The sequence below is a fragment of the Homo sapiens genome, chromosome 8 (assembly GCF_000001405.40).
Source record: "Homo sapiens chromosome 8, GRCh38.p14 Primary Assembly".
In the NCBI taxonomy this organism is placed as follows: Eukaryota; Metazoa; Chordata; class Mammalia; order Primates; family Hominidae; genus Homo; species Homo sapiens.
The window spans coordinates 105,142,860-105,164,799 of NC_000008.11; the positions used below are offsets into that span (position 1 = coordinate 105,142,860).

Below are 21,940 nucleotides of genomic sequence, written 5' to 3' on the forward strand. Positions count from 1 at the left end.
TTTTCTTTAAAGCAATAAACTAGGTTTATTGTAGTCTTTTGGCATTTAGAGAAATACAAGGCATTGAGCTGTCAGATTTTACAATGACAATACAGAATTGCGAATTCTGATTTTGAGGTGCAGACATTGCAATCATTAACTTAACATTTATAAAATGAGTTGGCAAAGGGAATAGAAACAAAAACTTGTAGGTAAGTTAAATGATTTGAGAAGATAGCACAGCCGTTGCACAGCCACCATTTTAATCCAGCCACTTTGCAAAATGAAGGCTATTTGGACATGTTTCATAAAAAATGAAACTGACCAGATAGTCCACAGGTGATCAGTTCCAAAGCCTCCTCTAGAGTCAGCCCTCCAAATATTTATCATATATGTATGTATGTTTGCTTGGATCATGATAAGGTACCAATTTGGGATTTTTGGAAACCGAGCTTGAATGTCACCTGAGACGTCTCTCTGATTTGGACTGGGTTCAGAAGCAAAGTGCCTGAGAGGCCAAAAGAGAAAGAGAGGGTGAGCAGGAGAGCAAGCCGGAATGGACAGCCCGTGTCGCCAGCTCTAATATCCCAGTGCAATTATTTTGTGGACATCCACTCCTTGCCTGCACAGGAGATAGGGCTATAAGTGTATGTTATTTTTTAATTACAAGGGGGTAGAAAAAATCCTGATGATGGGCTGGAAGGTGCCATTGCATTGTTATTTTTTCCTCTCCCTTCGTTTGCTGATTATGTGAGCCGGGCTCCTTTGCTAGCCGATGATAAGCAGAATTTCCATGTTCTCTGCATAATTAATCCATCTCTGCCTCTCTTCATGCCAACTCGCCCGTTATCGCCGGCACATGCCTGAATTGCAAAAGAATCCGCTCTTCAATTGGAACTTATTGATATTCTAAGAAAAAAAAAAAGAGAGAAGGGGGAAAAAACTGAAAATCCTTAAGTTTAAGCCGCAGATTTTTAAATGGATTAATTTCGCTGCAATCGCAGCCATCTAAGGCGGGAAGGCAGGCAGAGCAAATTGAAAGCGTCTCCATGTTTGCAGAATTGGGTCCAGAACGCTGAAATGTACTGGCACAGCTCTCTTTTAAAGTCAGAAAATTACCATTCATTTACATCACATGAAATACTTTTTTATGCTAGAAATATTCAAGAGACGTTCTTTAAATGCCTGCTAATGCTTGATAACATTTCTAACTTTCAACGTTTTGCTAGACTTTGATATGACATGATAGGAATGCCTTCCAGTAGAGAATATTATATCTCTCTTTATCACATATTAGATTACATCATCTTTTTCTTAATCATTCCCAAGTAGTCTTTAAACAATGAAGTCTGTCATTGGCTATGTAGGATTTTGTGTGCTGATGGAGGTCAAGGTTACTCAGTTATTTTTTTGAGTCTACCTACAAATGAAATGTTTGTTTTTGTTTAATCTTTCTTCTTCAAATGCCTAGAGACCTTGGGCAAAAATAATAACAATATAATAATCATAATATTTTCTCAGTAGTCATTGTTTTGACTATTTTCCTCAGTCTTACGATAAACTTTTATTTTTTAGAGACTTGCTTCCTTCTCATTTTAACTTGTAAATAGTTACACTTTGAAATCCCCTTTGACTTAGAAAAGGGTCAGTAGTGGGAGTCATTCCACCAAGTGTGCAGTTCAAAAAATCACAAATATAGGAACTTTCACTTCCAGGATTCTTGCAATTTCCAGATAGAATTAAATCTTGCTTAGTTGTTAATGCCTTCTTTTAAAATTTTGAAATAAATATATTGTATGTTAATTCTCTAACTCCTGGACTAGAACACTGGCCAGCACTGAAAGTGTTCTTAATAGTCTAGTTTAGCTTCAGCAATGCATTCTTCCTGCGGTTAGATGCTCACAAATCTGCAGTTTATGCTGGTCTGCATGACAAGGCTGACGTGCTTTCTTAGCTTAGAGAAGAGTTGCTAATATTGACCAGGATAGAAAATGTGCATTTGAATATCTAAAAATATTCACCATTAAGTAGTTTTTATTCATTTTGAATTCAGTAGAACTTCAAAAGAGAAAATAATACTAATTTTTTAAATACCAACTAAGTTGGGTGATGCATTTCCTAGGGAAAATGAAGCAGTAAGCAGTGATATTCTTTGAAGATATTTGTTTCGGTTACAAAACAAGGATCTCCATAACTACAGGTCATCTTAACATAAAATATTGGCATTGATGTGCAAAGGTCTGTCTATTAGTGAGCAATTTAAATATTGACATTGTAGTTTTTCCTCAGAAACAAACCAAAACAAAGAGGTAAGAAACACATTTAAGAGGAAAATATTTTATAGTAATAGTAAAATAATTTAAAAAATGACGATTACTATAAACATAAGAACAATCAAATTATATAATTTTAACTTAATCATCTTAACTGTAAAATCTTAAATAATTCCTATGCTACCTAGGCTTGTAAATGGAGTAAACTGCTAGTTTCACATTGAGTAATTTTGTATAGTCAGCTAAACAGTTTAAACCAATTTTAAAAATGAGATGAAAAATATGACCCTTCTTAAAATAGATGTAGCAAAAACATTTCAACCATAAATAACAATTTCACTGACCTTGTATACTCAACCCTTTCATTTAAAGGCGTGAATTAAAAGGACTTGAAAATTGCAGGTATATTTAGGGAAAGGAAACTTCTCCCGGGTATTCTGTCTTGAAAAGGAAAATTTTGATATAAAACTCAAATATGCTACAGTATGCATTTAGTTCATATTTTGAACTTTCTATATAAGGTAGTTATAAATATATCAATTGTAAATTTGTTCTCATACAAAGTATATTTTATACTTATGCTCTGATCCACAATCATTGGTGTTTTATCTATACATAATTAATAGTTGTAACTTAGTTCATGTAGTTTAACACAAATTTTTTCTTATGACATATGAGTTATGCTGTTTTCACTATTATATTCTAAATTCACTGAGTATTTGAAATAAATATAAGGTATCACATTCCTAATTATGACCATATGTGCAGATCATAGCAAGAAGAGTGATGCAAATGGTTTTGAGATGTTCTGTGTTGGATGACAGGCTAAATCAACAGCAGTGATTCACTATGAAGTGGTGACTACAAATACGATATGAATTAGCTATTTCACTGAAAAAACTAAGACACTGACACGGATTCATAAATGATGAACTGACATGATAGAAACAATTAAATGGGGTTTTCTCTTTCTTTTAAATTTAAGGATGAATTGAAAAGTGAAGAAGGCTATTACAAATGGTTTCCTTGGTGTCAAAAATTACTAAATAGTTCTTTTTTCGACATTAGGAAAATGAGTGACAGGCCTTTATTTGTATTGTGCATGATGGATGGATTCCTTCATCACTCCCATTCTCCTTCCTCTTTTCTTTGTAATTGGATGGAATTAAACTATTTACCACCTCTAAATTGGCTTTTTTCTCATCAGATGCCACCTATTCTAAAACTTAAACCTCTCCTACACTTGCAATCAAAGAGCCAGATGTGTCAATTACATGTTTCTCACAGATGTAGAGTTATCATGTACATCTTCAAAAATGAAATATTTAATGATTCTTTCTTTATCCATTGCCTTTTCTTGCTCTAACTCCAAGAGGTTTAAACTTACTCAGTCCTGGAGAAAACATACTTGAACACTTTTCCCCTTTCTGTTAATTCCTCTCAGATCAGGTAGTTCTTTTGATAAGGAAAAAAGGTTCAAAGTGCTTTTAATTGTTCATATTTTGTGCCAAACTCTCTAATATATTGTTCCTCACACCAGCTTCTCAAAAGCTATCACCATGGGTCACTGAATATTGGCATTCATCAATCTAAAGTAGCCATTGAGAATCTTCTATTTATCCTTACACTGCTCTGGGCACCAAAGAGGGATCATAATTTTGTTACTTGCCTAAATGCATTAAGTGGTCTTTCCTGGGCAACAGTTTGCTGTAAAATGTCCACATTTTGGTTAACTCTAACAAGATACATTCTATTCGTATCCAATTATTCTTTCATATGAATCTAGAGTTCACTTCTTTGAAGATACTTGAAGACATTTTCCAAATTGGTAATTCTCAAGTATAAACAGCTTAACCATATCTTTGATTGATATCACGTACCCAAAATTTTACACGTATAGTATAGACATCTATATTTAAAAATAGTCGAATTAGAGTCACTCAGGGAACATCAAGTTGTGCTTGAAAAAAAAGGGCAACTGGAACAGAAAGGCCTTCCCAGATACCTGGGCTGGAGAATGATACTTAAACCAAATAACATTCCCCTATCTTCAAAATCTCCCTGGAAAATCTTCCACAGCCTTTTATGTAATAACTGCAGTCTTTATTAATCAAAAGAAGTTTAGGTGTTTTCTTTTCTCTACTAAGGAAATAACTAAAGAAAAACAGCTGTTGTTTCTAATTGTGACTGATCATATATCATCTTTAAGATGTTAATAATAGGGCTTGATTTCCTCACTTTTATAATTACAAAAATAATACCAACATCCAGGAGTGACAATAATAGTATATTTCCTGAAGCATTGTCATGAAGTTAGTATCCTTATGTGTTGACATTTGGTCATTATTTTATAAGAGACCTACTACTGGAAGAAAAGAAGGGGCTGAAAAAAATATGTGTGTGTGTGTGTGTGTGTGTGTGTGTGTTTGTATTCTGTCTTACATATATTAGGTATTTCTATTCAAACACTTGGTAGAAATAAAATTTAATTTTTTTTTGTTTTTTTCAGGTACTTAAATAACCAGTGTAATCTTCTAAAATAGTCTCTCTATATTTAATGCAAATCTCATAAAATATTTAAAAATTAGAGAAGAAATAATAATTTGTTGACACTACTGCTTTCATATAAAACGACTTATTGTCATCAGAACTTCTGGTTCTTAATTTGTAACCTCTATAGCAGTAGGCTGGAATTCGGGATCAAAACTGTGATTTTGGAGTACAGGTAAATAGTTAATTTGAATCATATATATTTTACGAATATAATTTTGAAAGATACGAGAAGGAATTATTAAGGAAAAACTAGTGTTTAAAAAGATGTGTCATTGTAAGAAGTCCAGAATTAAAATATAAGCTAAATCATTTTTATTTTCTAAAATGTTCATTTATATTTTAGAAAAGTACACATTTAAATAAATACTTATCTTGTGTAAAAATAAAAGCAAAACTAATGCATGGTTTTTGTTTTTAAAAATACTTCAGTTGAAAAATTAAAATTGTATATATTTATGGTGTACAACATGATGTTATGAAATATGCATACACTGTGGAATGGCTACATCAAGCTAATTAACATATACATCACTTCATATGTTTATTTTTTGTGGTGAGAACACTTAAAATCTACTCTTTTAGCAATTTTCAAATACATAGTATGTTGTTGTTAACTATAGTCACCAGGATATAAAGTAGATCTCTTGAACTTATCCCTCCTGTTTAACTGAAATTTTGTACCCTTTGCCCAGTCTCTCCCAATCCCAAGGTTCCTAACCCTAGCCCCAGGTAGCCACCATTCTATTCTCTGCTTCTATGAGTTAAAATTTTTTTAGATTCTGCATGTAAGTGAGATCATGTGATATTTACCTTTCAATGCCTGGGTTATATCACTTAACATAACGTCCTCCAGGTGTATCCATGTTGTCACAAATGACAGGATCTCCTTTGTTTTTTAGGTCTGAATAGTATTTCATTGTATATATATACATACCACATTTTCTTGATCTAATTTCAGATGCATCTTTTTGTTGTTGTTTTAACTTTTATTTTTATTTTAGGTTCAGGGGTATACATGCAGGTTTGTTATATGGGTAAACTGCATGTCACAGGGGTTTGGTGTACAGATTATTTCATTACCCACATAATAAGCATAGTACCTGACAGGTAGTTTTTCAGTCCTTACCCTCCTTCCCACTGTCCACTATCAAGTAGGCCTCAGTGTCTGTCATTTTCTTCTTTGTGTCCCTGTGTACTCAATGTTTAGCTCCCACTTATAAGCTAGAACATGCGGCATTTGGTTTTCTGTTCCTGTCAGTTCCGCTATCTATCTCTGTCCATGTTGCTGCAAAAGACAACAAATGCATGCTTTTATTTGTAAATACTTGATTCACATGCAACGAAGGGCTTATTAAGGAAATGATCAATTAAGATTCCTCTAGTTCTTGGTTTGTATTATTATTTTTATAACTGATTATATCATATATTATTATTACATACTTATTGGCCCAGATTATTATAAAGATTGGTTACATTCATAGAAACCTCTTGTTATTAGGACCCACATCAGAAACCACTATTTTCTTAAAAATATGTAACTACAACATAATAGATTTTTTATTTTAAATGTTTATGATAAAACAATTAAAATATTAATTAATAACTTATTTAATGAGCAACTACCATGTGGAAATCTCTGAAGATAAATAATTATAATCTAATTATACCATAGGGAGAATATGATGATTTCCAAGTTCCATGACAACACAAATTAATTCCAACTTTAATGACATGTGTTGCTCTGAAATATTGTGGAATTTGCATCCCATTTCCACCTCACTCTATATTTGTCTCTGGGTTTTATTGAGTCTTACTTGAAAGAGGTGGACCACTCACCAACATTTGAGTCTCTTTGGTCCATCCACAATCATCATCACAATGACATTGTGACAATAAAACTTGATCAATATAAACAAAAATACCTAGTCCATGTTGAGGTAATACAAAGTAAAGACAGGGTCATGGCTGACAGGGTATGGCTGTGTCCACACCCAAATCTCACCTTGAATTGTAATATTCCCCATGTGTCAAGGAGCGGGGCCAGGTGGAGAAAATTAAATCATGGGGGCAGTTTCCTGCATACTGTCCTCCTGATAATGAACAAGTCTCACGAGATCTGATGGTTTTAGAAATGCGAGTCCCCCTGCAAAAGCCCTCTAGCCTGCCGCCATATAAGACGCGTCTTTGCTTCTCCTTTGCCTTCCACTGTCATTGTGAAGCCTTCCCAGCCATGCTGAGCTGTGAGTTCATTAAACCTTTTTCCTTTATAAATTACCCAGTCTTGGATATGTCTTTATTAGCAGCGTGAGAACAGACTAATACAATGGCTAACAGGAATTATAAAAGTAAGTCTTTCCAGAAAGGTACATTTTGATTTGAATTTTTGTAAAGAAGAAAGAGCCATGGCATGGATACACAGGAGCATAAGTAAGAATGCATAGAGGGAGAAAGACTGGGGGAATGTGGTTCTTAGCTAGAACCTTAAACCAATATTAGACATTTGGGTAAAGGAAACAATAGAATATATGTAAGTTGATGCCTGGGAAAAATTGAAAGGGAGCGAGAGATTTGAAGAAATTATTTTCACTTTGGATATAGGAAGGAGTAGAGATTGGAGGCCGGCAGCAGGGGCACTGTCAGACTGTCAGTACCAATATCGGGATTCGAAGGTCGTTCCGCACTGCAACCACAAGGTAATGCTTCTGAGATAGATAATTGAATGAAAGATTCCACAGCAGACAAAGAATATATGGGCATAGACTTTTATTTTACTTAAGTGACAGGCTAATTTAACAGATTTAATTTGAAGACTGAAAATAAAACCACATAATTTTCTAACATTAAATGAGGAAAGTAAACACACATAACCCCATTTTACAGATGAAAAAGTATTCTTGTCATTACAATGTATTTATTTGTTGCATAGTTGAAAAAAAAGTCCAAGTATTAGGAAAATATTCCTAGCTTCTAGACTTACAGTATGTTGCTTTAACTAAAGATAAATAAATGTGCATGTTTTATTTTAAAAAATTCATTCCTACAAGTAATTCAATATACCTATTGAAATACTTAATATGAAAATTCACTTTGCAAAATTTGAGATCTCATTAGCAATTTTCCCCCAATTTTTTTCCCTGAAAATGTGTTATTTCTTTTGTTAGTTTACTTCTATGCTTTCAATTCTCAGTCTTAAAGTTGTGATTTAACTATATGGTCTCTGGTGCCAGACTGCTTGGTTTAAATCCCAGCTGTACCACGCACTAGCTGTGTGATGCCAGGCAGATTACTTACCTCTCTTTGGGCTTGTTTTCTCATCTATGCAATAGAGATAATAATGGAATGCACCTTAAAGAATTGTGAGGAATTGCTGTGAATCATTTCATACATATGAAGCAATTAGAATGGGGCCTGACATACACTATGCACTTAATAAAATTAGCTTTTATTATTAGCCTTTGCCCTTAAAATGTCAACTTCTTCCAATAAATGCTAATAGGTGTGATTGTGTGTGTGTTTGCACGTGTGTGTACATGCATTTTTTGGTGTGTGTTGTGATATATTGGATAGGGGGACCCATGCAAACTGCAAACATTTAGAGAGTGATAAGATCTATTCAATAAGCTGTGCTTTCTGTGTTTCTTCAGTTTTAAATAATAATGTCCCAAATAAAAGTAACTTGGCTGGTTTTCGTGATGGGGTAATTATTAGTATACCCACCCCAAAAGAAGTGCCTATTTGTGTTATCCTCATTAATGTTATTGTCATGCCAGCCCCACCTCTTTTTGGTATCTATATTCCAGGAAAAATATCCCAGTCCTTTTCACTGAGAACTGTAGTTCATTCATCTCACTTCTGAGGGATGCTGTCCAGAACTGAAGTTCAGGTCTGGTCTGACCACTGGACAACTTCATGAGGCTATTTTGTCCCCTGTTCTAAGCACCAGTATCCCATGCCACTTGCATGTTGATTATGTTTTTGGTTTATGTTTCACTATTAATTAACTAAATCCCTTGGGTCTTTCGTCACATTGAAACTGTTGGCCAATTATGACATGCCACCCATCCCTAGTTCATCTTTTCTAATGTAAAGAATTCAAATGGAAGAAACAATTTAACAGCTGTTATAAGTTGGTAACATTTTAAAAGGCATAATGTCTAATTTTTGAATATGAAAAGTGAAATGGTGGTACACTAATTCTGTATTACTTAAAGTAACACCAGTTGCTGTAATAAACAACCAAAAAAACATGCAATGATGAGAAGATGAAAAAAATTTATTTCTTATTCATGTAAGGTCCCTTCTCTAACTGATGATTCAGGTCTCAGGATCTTTCAGTCTTGTAGCTTTATCATTTTTAACTTGAGATTTTCAAAATTACTCCAAGGTGAGAGAGGAAAGTGCATGGAAAATCACACATGGGACACTCTCATCTCTTTCATTCATTTTCCAATGGCTATAACTTAGTCACAGAGCTGCCTTTAGCTGCAAAGAAATGTAGCTAGCTGTGTGCCCAGGAAGAAAAGGAAATGGAGGTATTATGCAGCAGTCAGTCTCAGTCAGTCTCTGTCATACATAAGCTGTTTGTGAGAGTATAACTGAATTTATGCTAGGTAGTACTAAATGCTATGTTGATGGAAATTTAATGACATGAAACTATATTCATTTTTAGATTAAATAAGCATGTTACAAAACAGATTAACATCATAATTCAATTTCATTTAAAAATATGTTCACATGTATATGTACTAATTGTACATGAAGCATGTATACATATGTGTATGTATTATGAAGATATTCAGACCTATACATATGATACAAAGACTATATTGTTATAGTAGAATTAAAGATGATATTTCATTTTTTATTTTTGCTTTTCCAATTTCTGATCTGTCAACATAAGTATATATTATTCTAAAATAAAATTATACTTGTAAATATAAATAGTATTTAGCTTGAGCTCTCAAATTGTATCATTTTAATTTAGGTCATTTGTTCCATTTGTCAAAATATTTTTCTCTTTCGACTTACCATCCCACATATTTGTATTTCCTTCTAGCTTTGTTCTATCTGGAGTACTCAAAGTGTGCCATATATTGCATGTAAGTCAGTGATAAAAACATTGAAAGGAGCAGGGCCTCTGTCATTATACTGAGACCTTTTATCTTTCCATCTCTGTGCCCCACTTCAGGGCTTGGTACATGCTATGTACTCAGTTAACATTTATTTAAATAAATGAATGGATATTGCTGATAGTAATTCATTAATCAGTACTACTTATTTATTTGTGTTCATTCAATCCACACAAATACAGATGGTTTAACTTACGATTTTTCAACGTTAAGATGGTGTAAAAGCAATATGCATTCAGTATGCACCTAATCCTATGATGGTTCAGATAAGCCCATTGTAAGTTGATTTAGGATATCTTAAATTAATGATGAGTTTATTGGGACTGCATAATAAATCGGGGAACATCTGTATACATATTTGTAGTTTCCTAAAATTTGTTTCTCCACTTTGTCCTAATTTGAGACATGTTAACGGCGATAATAAAAGTTAACATTTATTCTCCTAACTTTGCTCCGGACACTATTCTAAGTTCTTTATAGGAAGATTCATCTAATCTTCCCAGCAAACCCATGATATAGGTTCTATTATTTTTTCATTTTTATATTAAAAGGTACAGAGAAATTAGGTGATTTGCCCAAAGTCACGCAGTAAATGGCAAAACCAGACAGTCTAGCTCCAGAATCTATTCTTTGAATTCATCATCTTCTATTCCCTTAATCCTCCATGAGGCTTTTAATTGTTTTATACAAGTTTTTTCAAAGTTTTCACATTATGTGGCCATCTACTACAAGTTGGTCTGTTGGATTTGTGCACACAGTCACACAATTAGGAATTGAAAGAACTGAAATATACTGTTGTCCTTTTTCTACAGTATTTACGTGCTAACAGAAATTCCATTAGTGGTGCACAGCTTATTCATGATGAACCTCTGCTGACTCCTAATGATCATTGCTTTCTTTTCTAAATGTTTTATTTTATTTTATTTTATCTATTTGTTTTGAGACAGGGTCTCACTCTGTCATGCAGGCTGAAGTGCAGTGGCGCAATCACAGCTCACTGTAACCTCAAGCTCTTGGGCTCCAGCAATCCTCCTACCTCAACCTCCCGAGTAGCTAAGAGTGTAGGCGTGTGCCACCACATCCAGCTAATTTTGTTTTGTTTTTGTTTTTTGTAGAGATAGGGTCTCACTCTGTTGCCCAGGCTGATCTGTAGCTCCTCCACTTAAGCAATCCTCTGCTCAAAGTGCCTCAGCCTCCTAATTGTGTCTTTCTAGGCTGAGAGACTGGAACTCCTTTTTACAGCATTTTGGCACTTGGCTATCTAGTCACCTATCTTAGGTTTCAGTTCCTTCAACCGTGTTTGTTATACCTTTCTCAGTTTAAAAGTCATTCTCTTTGATGGAAAATAGGAGTAAAATAGAAGTGCATTCATTTTCTTTCATTCATTAACTTTACATTGTCTATTGCATGAGACAGACCGATTCCTTCTTGTTCTTGCCCCAGATGTATGTAAAAAGGACGTCTCTATTATTGTTAGCATTGCACTATTATTATTAGAATGGGCATTTTTGAAAGTCTCTCTACTTCTGGTTTTATATTTTCTTGAGGCAATCCTTAGTTGTTCATACAACGTTTTTGGAATGCATTTTTTGTGTGTGTGTACATGCCTCTTATTCCATCTTTTATTGCTATCATTTGAAGTCCCAGTGTGTCAGAGATAGCCATAATGAATCAGGCAAACAAATGTCCATTTTTAAGAGCTTTCCTCTATTTTAAAACTCAATGAACATATCTAATTGTTTAGGAAAGATGGTTTGCATTATCCTTTGCAGATGTTACAGTATTCACACAGGAAAGAAACTATTGCTTTGCTCAATCAAAAATCTAGCTACTTTGGCCACTTCTCAGTTAATACTTCATTATATTATTTACAGTTGAGACCTATGTTGAAATGTATTTTAGTGATCTAGAAATACTTTCATATTGGTCAATGCGCTTTTGGATTTTCTCAGTGTTTGGGTTTGTTTTGTCATTTTTGATCAACCAATTTATTATTTTAGCTTTTAGTACAAAATATACTTCTAGCTAGATAATCCATTTATCATTGAAATATCTGCAAGGAAAAAAGTTTGTTATGATGAATCTGTCACTGTCTAGGGCCTAACCTCTTCTATTGTCTCTAAAACAATTATTTTTGCAATACAATTTTTGATAGCTAAGAGTTTAGGGGAAATGAAACCATTGTGTTGTAGCAAAACAGATGGTAACTAATGTATTATCAGGGAACAGAATCAGATTTTGGGGGGATACTTCTCCATTTCTCTAATACTGAGATTATTTGTATTTGTGATTTTATAGTTAGAATTTATTTGATTTAGAATTTTCTAGCATTATTGAATTATGTTTCTCTAAATAAATGCTGGCTATGAAACTATTGCTATAGTTTGATCCGAACAATGTAACTTTACCCAGTATTTTTCTCAGTATTTTGACCTTTAAGAAAACATCATGGTAAAGTCTCTTCATGTTTCTATCATGAGTACTTCTCAAAGTGATTCATGTTGGTTGAACAGTCTCCATCAATATGAATTAGGACTTGTTCATGACAAGTAACCAAAATCTTAGCAAACAAAGGAAATATTTGGCTCCCTAACTGGAAAGAGGAGGGGTGAGGTTAGTATCAGGCATGCTTGGCTCTGATGTCAGCATCAAGGGCTCATTCTCTCTTTTCATGACCTGGCTCCACTCCCCTACCCAGGCTCCATTTTCAGTCAGGCTTTCTCAGGTGGCATGGAAGATGGCTCCTGGTACTCTTACAGCTTAAGATGAGAGAGAGAGAGAGAGAGAGAGAGAGAGAGAGAGACCGACCGACCCACCCTCTTTTTCCAAGTCAGAGAAGATATTGGTTAGTTCTGCCTAGGTGACTTGCCCGTCCTTGAGCCAGTTTTTGTACTATGGGGGGATGCAGCACTCTTCTTTGCTAGACTGAATCATCACCTTACCCATGTAGCCAGGGATTAAAGCACCATTAGTGACAGCCCAACTCAAAGAACATGATATAGAAATTCATTAATTGCATATAAAGAACAATAGGGTGCTACCACCAAAAGAAAGGAGAAACAATGCCGTCGCATGCTAAGATAAGAGATATCTCCTTTACTCACGCTGACTCTTTAATCTTCTGGTTGAGAGTATAGCACAGCAAGTTCAGGTGCCTTGCTTTATCAGAATGTGGTTTCCAAGTAAATTAAGTTGTTTCCAATTCCTACTGTGAGGTAAGCATTGTGCTAAAACAATGGTTTATCCAAAATACAAGTTTCCTGTATCCTACACACTGTTTTTAAACAGTTCGAGTATTATAATCTATATTAGAAAGTATCATTACTCTCCTGCTTAGCCAAATACTTCTTATGAGTGTCTTATTTATTGCTGTGTAACAAACTCTCTTAAAACATAATGGGTTATTTAGCTCACAAATCTGCAAATTGTGTAGGAGTCTGTGACAGTACCTTACCTCTGCTCCATTTGTCAACATCTTGGGCAGTTTGAAGGATGGGTAATATAATCATCCTAAGGCTTATTTCTCACTCACATGTCTAGTGGTTGATACTAGTCATTGTATAAGACTTTAGTTGTGGCTGTTGCCTGGAATATTTGCATGTGACCTCTCCATGTGGTCTGGGCTTCCTCACACTATGGTGGCTGGGCTCCAATGGTGAGCATCCAAGAGAAAGAGCCAGGTGAAAGCTATGTTAATTTTCATAACTTAGCCTTGGAAGTCACTCAGGATCACTTCTGCTACATTTTATAATTAAAACACCTACAAAGAGTCATTCAATTAGAAGGGGAAGAGAGATAGAATCCAATTCTTTGCTGAGAGGATTATAAGGTTCTGGAAGAGCATTTGAGAAAGATCATGTGAAACTGGACATATTTCTGTGGCCATTTTCAGAAAATGCAATCTGCTGCACTGATACCCCTAAGAATGATAATGTAACTTGCTTGTGCTTCTTTGTCCTTTATCTTCTTCCAAGGACTATTTATCACTCTCTGTGCGACCTTCTGCATCATGATCTAATTTTTCTCCAATAAATATGAAACATGTATTTACTGTTGTAAAACACAAGGAAAATACAAATATGAGAAAGACTGAATAGCTAACTTCAGAGAGTTTACCTATGCCGGACCTCCTATATCAGAGGAAGAGGTATTCAATGAGAAATTTCTTCTAATTATAATATCATCATTAGAATGAAGACCATATTTTTGCCTTCTTAAAGATAGCATTTTATATTTCTTTATTTATTGTATCCTATGGATTGAAATTTAAGTGCATAAATACAAATGACTTGTTTCAAAATTCCTTTTCTACTTTTTTCCCTAAGGAAATACTTCTTTACTACATTTTTCTCTCTATCATATGTGTTGTCTATGGCATAGAAATTCATACTTTTATTCAAATCACTCTTCAAGTCGAAATTCTTCTAGATAAATAAGTCACTCAGTCTTCCTTATTTTCTCATCTGTAAACATTGCCATTTTTGCTCTACAAATTCATCTCTTCTGTAAATATGTCTTTCTTAAGAAACAACATTTATCTACATTTGTCAACATCATCCTGTTCCTATGCTGGTTAAGCTAAAGTATTAATAATGAACAACTCTGCTTTCTCTGTTTTCTCCATATTGAGAACTTCAGAGGCCTGAGTGACCAATTATGTTGACTCAAAAATAAAGATTGTCACTGTGGCAGGTGCCATACTCTATCAAAAAGATATACAATATCCTGATGATACCAGAAACATTTTCATATATGTCAGATTTTTAATAGATATGGTGAAAAATTATTTTTTAAAGGCTTGGTTTATTTGATGGCACAGGGTGGGATGCTTCACAGAGCCATATGCAGCTCTTTCTTGGAAGCCTCTTTTCCAGATTTTTCTCCCACCTGTTATGCTGCATCTTCAAAATCCCACTTATCTCTATACTTCTACTTCTTCCTTCAAGGGTCACAGGAGGGTCACTGAACACATCTTCATACTCAGCAGTCTGTAATTTTATACATAATTTAGTACAATTATCAAGGTCACCCCCATTCAGCCCTTTAAAGCTACCCCCTCTGGTCAGACACAGCCTTGCAAAGGTAAAGGCATGGAGAGGTGCACACAGACTGAATTTCAGCCCTCACTACCCTTGTCAGACCAGCTAGAAGGGGCAGCCCTGCATCTCTGGTGACTCCTGCAGGGCTAGAACCCAGTGAGCATTTCAGAGCTATGAAGTATGCCAGATTCAGTCTGTAGGCAAGGACAGCTATAGTCTTTGTTCTAAAGAATGTGTTTTAGGAAATCATTTATGTCTTTCTCTCTAAACCCTGAGCCAGCACAATATGCAAAACAATCAGCTGAAGGGAAATCTTATTTTTGAAACTATGTTTATTAAGAAAACCAAACCAAACCAAACCAAACAAAAATCCCCTCACATCAATAGAGGACGGAGCCAGAGTGCAGCCTTTGGGTGCCAGATGTTGGTGAATTCTGATGGGTCAGCTTGTCTCTTTGGAACGGGGAACACATAAACCTGCTGTTTGGGTTAAAGGGATCCATTACTAAGCAGATAATGGGCCAGAAAGGAGAGAAGAAAAAGTACTGACAATTGGGCAAATCAAAAAGGGGGGTGCAATTCTCAGAAGCTTAAGGGAAAACTAATAAGCAGGTTGTTTATTGTATGTCACTGTAGACAAACAGGGACAAGTATGTCACTGTAGACAAACTCCTAATTTAATAAATAAATAAATATACAAGATGGTACAACTGAAGCCCCTCACCAAACTGCAGAATGTAATATTTGATGTATTTGGAAAGGGGGTGAGGGATGAGCTATTTTGCCAATAAAATTCAATTTGGGAAATTATCTCTTATTAATTTATAAAAGGTCGAATTCTCTACTAATGACCTCATTTCTGTCTTTTTATGGTGGCTTTTGTGCAATGCCAGCCACTGAAGAATTAAATGTTGCATAATGTAGTTTGAAAATAAAAAAGACCTATAACTTTATTTTAGATTTACAAATAATAGTAAATAAATCATAGTAGCTACTATTTCAATGTTTACCACGAGCTGCACATTACACATTACATTTGTTATTTCATTTAATTTTTACAACAAACTTATAGATAATTTCCAATTTCAGATCAGCAAACCACAGCTTAGTGAGTCTAAGAAACTTGCCCAGGGTCACTCAGCTGATAAGTGGAGAACTGGGATTACAACTCAGTTTGGTCTAACACCAAAACCCATGCTCTTAGCTTCTCAATGGACTCCCTTACTGCATTGAAATTCTTTAGTACCAACCCATGTGCTTTGGTTTTAATATTTTTGCAGTCTTACTCAGTTTGGATAATTTGCAGGTCAAATTACCTACTGATGTGTAGCTAGCTGATTGAGGAGTTTGAACTCAGTAGGGTATAAATGATTTGCTTCCTTTTCATCATTGCTTTCACTTGTACTCCGTGGAATTGCCCTGTCCTGTGTTTTTAATGAATTCTTGGGCAGATTTCCTAACTTTCTGGTCATTCTTGGTTATTAAAATTTAATCCAGTCTACTTTATACATTTCCTGTTCAATCCAGAGTTTTCCTCTCCCCCATGCTGATCAAGTTTGTCATTAGAGGATAGGATTCTGGAGGGGCAGTTCTGTTTTACTATTTCTCCGCCTCCTCCCCCAACCGGCCCACAAAGTCTTTTTTTGGGCCCAGCTCCTACACAGTTGGTAGCTGAAAGCTACATCATCAATATGGAGGTTTCCTCTGCCTGGCTCTGCCTCCCTCAGGTTCTGCTTAGGGCTAATGTGTTGTATAATTTCTTTAGATCATCCAGCACCTTTCATCACTGAAATCTCCCTCTAAAAGCCATTTTCTCCTTTTGGTCTCTGCCAGCAATTCCATGTGGTTTACTCCCGTAACGGTGAGAGGACAACTCCTGTTGCTCTCTGGGCCCCTCCACATGCATCAAGGGCCTTCTACCTTCCTATACTGCGTTGCAGTTCCCCCTCCTCCTATGGCAACACTATCAGCATCTCTCCTACTTTTAGGACTATCCAGACAGGGAACATATGTCACTTTCTCAGTTATCTCTCCCCATGCTCAGCTCCCTTCTAATGGAGTCAAGACCCAGAAAGACAAACATTCAGACAAGGACCAAGGCACAGTACCACCTTCTAGAATTTTCTACTTCACTTGCTCTTTGTGGGAGATAATGTACCATTAAAGAGGAGGAGAAGAGGGCAGGAAAAAGCTTCTCAGCTAAACTCTGCGCTCACTCCCCTGGCTCGTCACTCTGAGAACTCTCTCTGTGTCTGGAAGGTGGTAGGTGGGAGGGAATTATGATTGTGTTAGTGGGCTGGTTCTTTTGCATCTTCTGTGAGTTGTGAGGAAGGTTCTGGCTCCAGCTTTCAGTAGCTTAGTAATAGTTTTTAAAATATGTGTGACTTAAATTCTCCTGTATTCAACTTTGGGGCAATTCAGCTTTGGAGCAACCACAATTTCATCAGAGGAGAAAAAAAACAAGATTCAACAATATATTAAGACATAGAAAAAGTAATTGAGAGTGGGAGTGGGTGTAATTTTTTTTCATCAAGAAATATTTTATGTTTTAAAGAAAATAAAAAATTATTCCAGAAGTGCTAAGTAAAAGTGCTCACATGGGTAATAATACATCCCTCTTAAGTATCTTAATTTACATTTTTGAATCGCAACAATTATGCATTGGAGATGAAGTATCATTATCAACATTTTACAGATGAGACCACTGAGGCTTATACTGGTAAACAATTTTTCTAAAGTCTCACTCTTAAACTGGCAGTGCTGGATATTTGTGTGTGTGTGTGTATGTTTTATTATACTTTAAGTTCTGGGATACATGTGCAGAATGTACAGGTTACATAGGTATACATGTGCCATGGTGGTTTGCTGCACCCATCAACCCATCATCTAGGTTTTAAGCCCCACATGCATTAAGTATTTGTCCTAATGCTCTCCTTCCCCTTGCCCCCGCCACTGACAGGTCCCAATGTGTGATGTACCCCTCCATGTGTCCATGTGTTCTCATTGTTCAACTCCCACTTATGAGTGAGAACATGCAGTGTTTGGTTTTCTGTTCCTGTGTTAGTTTGCTGAGAATGATGGTTTCCAGCTTCATCCATGTCCCTGCAAAGGACATGAACTCATTCTTTTTTATGGCTGCATAGTATTCCATGGTGTATATGTGCCACATTTTCTTTATCCAGCACTGGATATTTGACTCAATGCATTGCTCAATCTTTATGTACTTAGCTTAGAAGGGTTTCCTAGAGCATGGGCCCCCAACCCCTAGGCCATGGACAGTGGCCTGTTAGGAACCGGGCCACACAGCAGGAGGAGAGCAGCCAGCAAAAGAGTGAAGTTTCATCTGTATTTACAGCTGCTTCCCATTGCTGGCATTACTGCCTGAGTCTGGCATTAGATTCTCATAGAAGGGTTAACCCCGTTGTGAACTGTGCATGCAAAGAAATCTAGGTTGCGCACTCCTTATGGGAATCTAAATGCCTGATGATCTGTCACTGTCTCCCATCACTCCCAGATAGGACTGTCTAGTTGCAGAAAAACAAGCTCAGGGCTCCCACTGATTCTACATTATGGTGAGTTCTATAATTATTTCATTATATATTACAATGTAATAATAAAAACAAAGTGCACAGTAAATATAGTGCACTTGAATCATCCTAAAACCATCCCGACACCCCCAGGTCCATAGAAAAATTGTCTTCTACAAAACCGGTCACTGATGCCAAAAAGGCTGGGGACCAGTGTCCTAGAGGAATAACCTGAGAATTGGACTCATGTGCTGGAGAATTAAGTTGTGCTCCTGGGAGAAATCTGTACTGGAATGAGGGAAGCAAAACAGAAAAGGGGAAGAAGTTCAACAAGGAGGTGGTGTCTGGAGAAACCTAGACTCAGCCTGAGCCCAAAGGGAGCACTACAGTGTAGGTTACACCATAGAGTTTGCTGGCCCTTTACACAAGGAGCTGAATCTTTGTGCCCCGTACCACTCAGTCACTGGCCATTGGTTGCCCTACAGAGAGTGGATTGGGGGATGCAGTAACTCACTGCCACCTCAGAGTGAATGGGGGCATCAACAGAGCTGACTACAATAATACTACTCTGCTTTTCACCATGTTAGTAGTTAATGGAGATGTATAAGACAACCAAAGAGAAGACAAAGGGAGATGTCCTAGAATAAAATTCAAAAGGTCAAGGAAAATGGCAGTATTGTTATATTGCCCTTTGTTTGAATAAATACATTTACTCTAGCTTTACCTGGTATTTTCAGTATAGATAAACTGATCATTAAAATTTGTTATTTCTTAGAAAGACTTTTTGAAACACAACTCAACTAGATTACAATGAATAAGTATTTGTTGAAGGAAAATACCCAATTTTATGACTTTCTCTTCTAACTTAGGCAAAGAAGAGTTCAAATGCAAAGCAAATTATGAGATTCAAGGCTATGTCTTTAATGAAAAGGCAATTTTGGCTCAATAGGGTGAAATTACATGGTAAGTTTGAATGAAAATGTATTATTCTTCACTTTAAATATATTCTGTGCATACACCTTAGCCATTATCGCTAGGTATTTTTAATAGACAAAAAATTAATATGACCAACCTTCTTTAAGACAATTATTCATATTTATTTAAGGCACCTAACCAAGTCCCATTACTTTAACTTGAATTCATGATAAATTAACGTTTTAAACTACTTCATTCAAACAACCATTGTAGTATAATTATATCACAACATCAATTTTTAACACATATTGATAGCAGGATGTGGCAGGTGATATTCGAAGTGCTGCATCTGTCATAATTTATTTGATCTTTATAACAATCATGGAGAATGGGTACTATTATCATTTGTCTTCTACAGATGAAGAAACTGAGGCAGATTCAATAACTTGCCCAGTGTCATATGGTTGGTGGGTGAAGGAGTCAATATTTGAACTCAGGCAGCATGGTTCTAGGGCCCTGCACTGAGTATTAAAAAATACTGAAATACAGGTTATTGATATTCATAAATTCTGGTGTTCATTTTTACCATGTGTTGTTTTGACTCCCTGTTTGTAGATTTTACAAATTAAATATTTAGAGAAAATCAATAATACAGTTGACAAAAACAAAACTTAGAGAATCAATAAGATAATAACTAGACAAGGACAAGATACATGGTGGTTATAAAAAAATGAATGATTTTATTATGTAAATATATTTAATCTTATATGTTTATAATTCAAATTCCATTGCTCTGTATTTTTGTTTTTATAATTTTCTATAGTTTATAAAAAGTTATCAGAGCATCAATTTTTAATAGTTTGATTATAAAATGTACCCTTATTCTTTCTTATGTTTCCCAAATAGTTCCTAGATCCTACATCTGCTCTTCCTTAAAAACAACACATGTGCACATACACACACATAATTATGTATGTATGTGTAGGCAATTACAAGTAAACAATGAAGGCTTAGTGGAATATCTGAGCTGGGATGAAGTGGGAAATGGTTCATTTACCCCATCCTGACCTCAGCTCAACAGTTTCCTTTAATGTATTAGATGTCTTTTGGTGTCATATTTTAAACTATATTGTAACAATCCATCCATCCCTTTTCTTTCCTTCTTTCCTTCCTTCTTCCTTTCCTCTCTTCCTTCCTTCCTCTCTCCCTCTCTTCTTTTTTCCTTCCTTCTTCGCCACTTAATGAGCTCATGCTCTACAAATACGTGTAAAACCAAGGCATGTGAATTATATTCCAGGCCCCTAAGGAATATACAGCCTAACACTTGGAGGGCCTTAGGTGTTTGGGCTTTGAATGGTTGCTGGTTGCAACTGATTTGTGTGAAACTGGGGCAAAGCACTTTTGTTTTCTCTTTTGGAAACTGAAGTGTTTGGATGGCTTCTAAAGTCCCCTGAAGTTTTGAAAACAAAAATTTTAAGAATAATTTATAGTTTCATAATCTAAGTAAGAATAAACAGAGAATGAGAAATGTCAGCAAAGTAAGTATGTAAGCAAAAGCCATGATTAATAAAATGGTTAATAAACTAGTTTTCCTATTAATGTAAGAGAATAAGCCAAATGCAATCAATAGGCACTATCAGGAAATTTGAAATGAAGACCCATAGTGAATATATAAAGGTGGATGTATTAAGAATGGACAATGGAGATTTGCCTGAAATATATTTCTTTGAGCTCTAATTCCTGGATTATTAGAAACTCTATCCTAATTTCCCACACGTCCAATTTCACATGTAAGTCAACCCTACTCTTAGCTTGTCCTTTTGCCATATTATTCTAACACAAAAAACGAAAGACATCCATAGATTATTTATAATATTATAGCTTGCAGAAACGTTTTCAAACATCTTTGAAGCACCTTACTCTATAACTATTATTGTAAATATTTTTCCATATGAAAGTTAATTTAGAAACATATATCTTATTATGTAATTATAACTGCTTTACTATCAGAACAAAGTTTACATTGATTGTAGAATGTATTGCTACGTTCTTCCCATAAAGCATATCAAGTGAAATATAGACTTTTTTGTATTACCAAATATCATTGACAAATACAAGATGTTTTATAAGTGGCACTCGCATTCTATATATTCATTTATAAGTGAGACTTGTATTCCACATATACATAATATAAAAAGTTAGGAATATGTTTTAATCATTTAATGATGAACTCTAAATGATAAACCTAAAACGTATTTTTACCAGTCAAGAAAACATTTATAATGCACAAGGTATTTTTATTAGTTTTGACATAGCTTATTTTTTCACAGTGTGTTTTAAGGTTTATATACAACTTGAATTTTAATGTCCTCACCTGAAATTTCATACATTGTTAGCCAACTCTCAAATCAGGGGATTTTTAAGGGATCAATCACGTTTGCTTTTTTGCCAAAGCAAACAATGCCAAGATCTCAGTTTATTAATAATGAAAGAGACCAGAAAGCCAGGACATGGATATTTGTAAT

The 21,940-nt window shown here is 35.3% G+C and overlaps 1 long non-coding RNA gene across 1 annotated transcript in view; it reads right to left on the bottom strand.

Moving 5' to 3' along the window:
- The window catches only part of LINC03084 (long intergenic non-protein coding RNA 3084), a 45,936-nt gene continuing 23,996 nt past the window's right edge, over positions 1-21,940 (bottom strand). The window contains exon 3 of the long non-coding RNA NR_187537.1: positions 1-888. This is a non-coding gene — a long non-coding RNA (long intergenic non-protein coding RNA 3084). The remainder of the gene's footprint in view (positions 889-21,940) is intronic.